The sequence below is a fragment of the Homo sapiens genome, chromosome 11 (genome assembly GCF_000001405.40).
Source record: "Homo sapiens chromosome 11, GRCh38.p14 Primary Assembly".
Classification (NCBI taxonomy): Eukaryota; Metazoa; Chordata; class Mammalia; order Primates; family Hominidae; genus Homo; species Homo sapiens.
The window spans coordinates 29,224,171-29,225,661 of NC_000011.10; the positions used below are offsets into that span (position 1 = coordinate 29,224,171).

The 1,491-nt window shown below is 49.7% G+C and overlaps 1 annotated feature.

The window, feature by feature from the left end:
* Positions 766-1,085: an enhancer, noted in NCBI's record as "active region_4551". NCBI's record gives its function as "activates an Ori minimal core promoter by ATAC-STARR-seq in GM12878 lymphoblastoid cells {active_cell/tissue: GM12878}" and the evidence as "EXISTENCE:reporter gene assay evidence [ECO:0000049][PMID:35858748]".

Here is a 1,491-nt window from a genome sequence, read left to right on the forward strand (position 1 = left end):
CTGTTGTTGTTGCTTTCTGCTTGTTTGTCTTCCAATGGTCAGGTCCCTCTTACCTAGCTGCTGCAGTTTGCTGGGTGTTCACTTCAGGCTCTATTCATCTGATTCACTCCTGTGCATGGAGATGTCACTCAAAAAGCCTGGAGAACAACAAACATGGGTGCCTGCTCCTTCTTCTGGGACCTCTGACCTAAAGGGAACCAAACTGATACCAGTAGGATCACTGCTGTATAGATTATCTGACAACCTCTGTTGGAGGGTCTCACCCAGTTTGGTGGCACGGGGAACAGGACCCATTTAATGAAGCACTTTGTCTCTTGGTGGAGGGGGTGTGCTTTGTTGGGGGGAAACCCAATCGTCTGGGCTGCCCGGATTCATCAGAACTACCAGGAGGAAAGGCTAAATCTGCTGGTCTGCAGACTGTGGCCTCCCCTCCCACCAGGGGCTCAGGCCCAGGAAGATCCAGGTACTGTCCCTGAGCTTCTGGCTGGAGTTATTGGCGTTCCTGCAGGGAAAGCCCCACCCAGTGAGGAAGGATGGGTCAGGGTCAGGCCTGAAGAGTCACTCTGGCCACAGACTGCCACAGCCAGTGCGTTGGGCTGTGGGAGACAAGTCTTTGGACTAAGCCATCCAGCCTCTTTGGCTCCAGCTGGGGAAAAGCACAGCCTAGAGCTGTAGAGATATGTGCCACCCTTCCCCAACCCAGGGAGCTTAGCCTGTTAGGCAGTTGCTAGTCCCAGTGCTGGCTGCTGCCCCTCCCCCAAGGAGCTCAAATCACTTAGACAGCAGGAAGCTGCAGTCCGATACTGGATGCCCCTGCTTCTGGGATTTCCCTAGGCTTATGCAGATTCTAGCTGAGAGGCTGTAAGAATCTGCGGGTTCTGGTGTTGGGATGCTAGGTTTGCAAGTGGGATCTTTTGATCTTTGGGTTGTGGAGTTCTGTGGAAAAAGCACAGTTTCCCTGCCTGGTTAGCATGCTCAGTCACTGCCTCTTTTGGCTGGGGAAAGTCCCCTAGGGACTTTCCCTGCCCTGTGTGACTCTCCGGTGGGCCACCGCACCATACTGTTCTTCCTTCTCTCCGTGGGTCATGCCAGCCTTCTAGTCAATTTTGAAGAGAGAACCTGGATACCTTTGTTGTCAGTGAAGGATTCACGTGCTTATTAGGATCTTTTTCAATGGGAGCCTCCGAAGGCCGCTGCTTTTATTTGGCCATCTTGGCCCCACCTCTTTCTGTCTCTTCTTCTCTATAAACGTAAGAATTATCTGTGTTATCAGAATCAACTTCTAGTTCTTAGAAGTGGATTATCCATTTATTCCTTAATAGTTTACTTGGATAACACTCTGGTTCCAAATTTCCATTTCCAATGATACCTCAATGTCCAATGTCATTCCATATCCCTTTCCGATATGCTTTTTTAAATTGCCCTTTTTGTTGTTAGATATAATGTTATCCCTTTACTCTCAGTGTTCCATGTAGTCTCTGTTTGATCCTT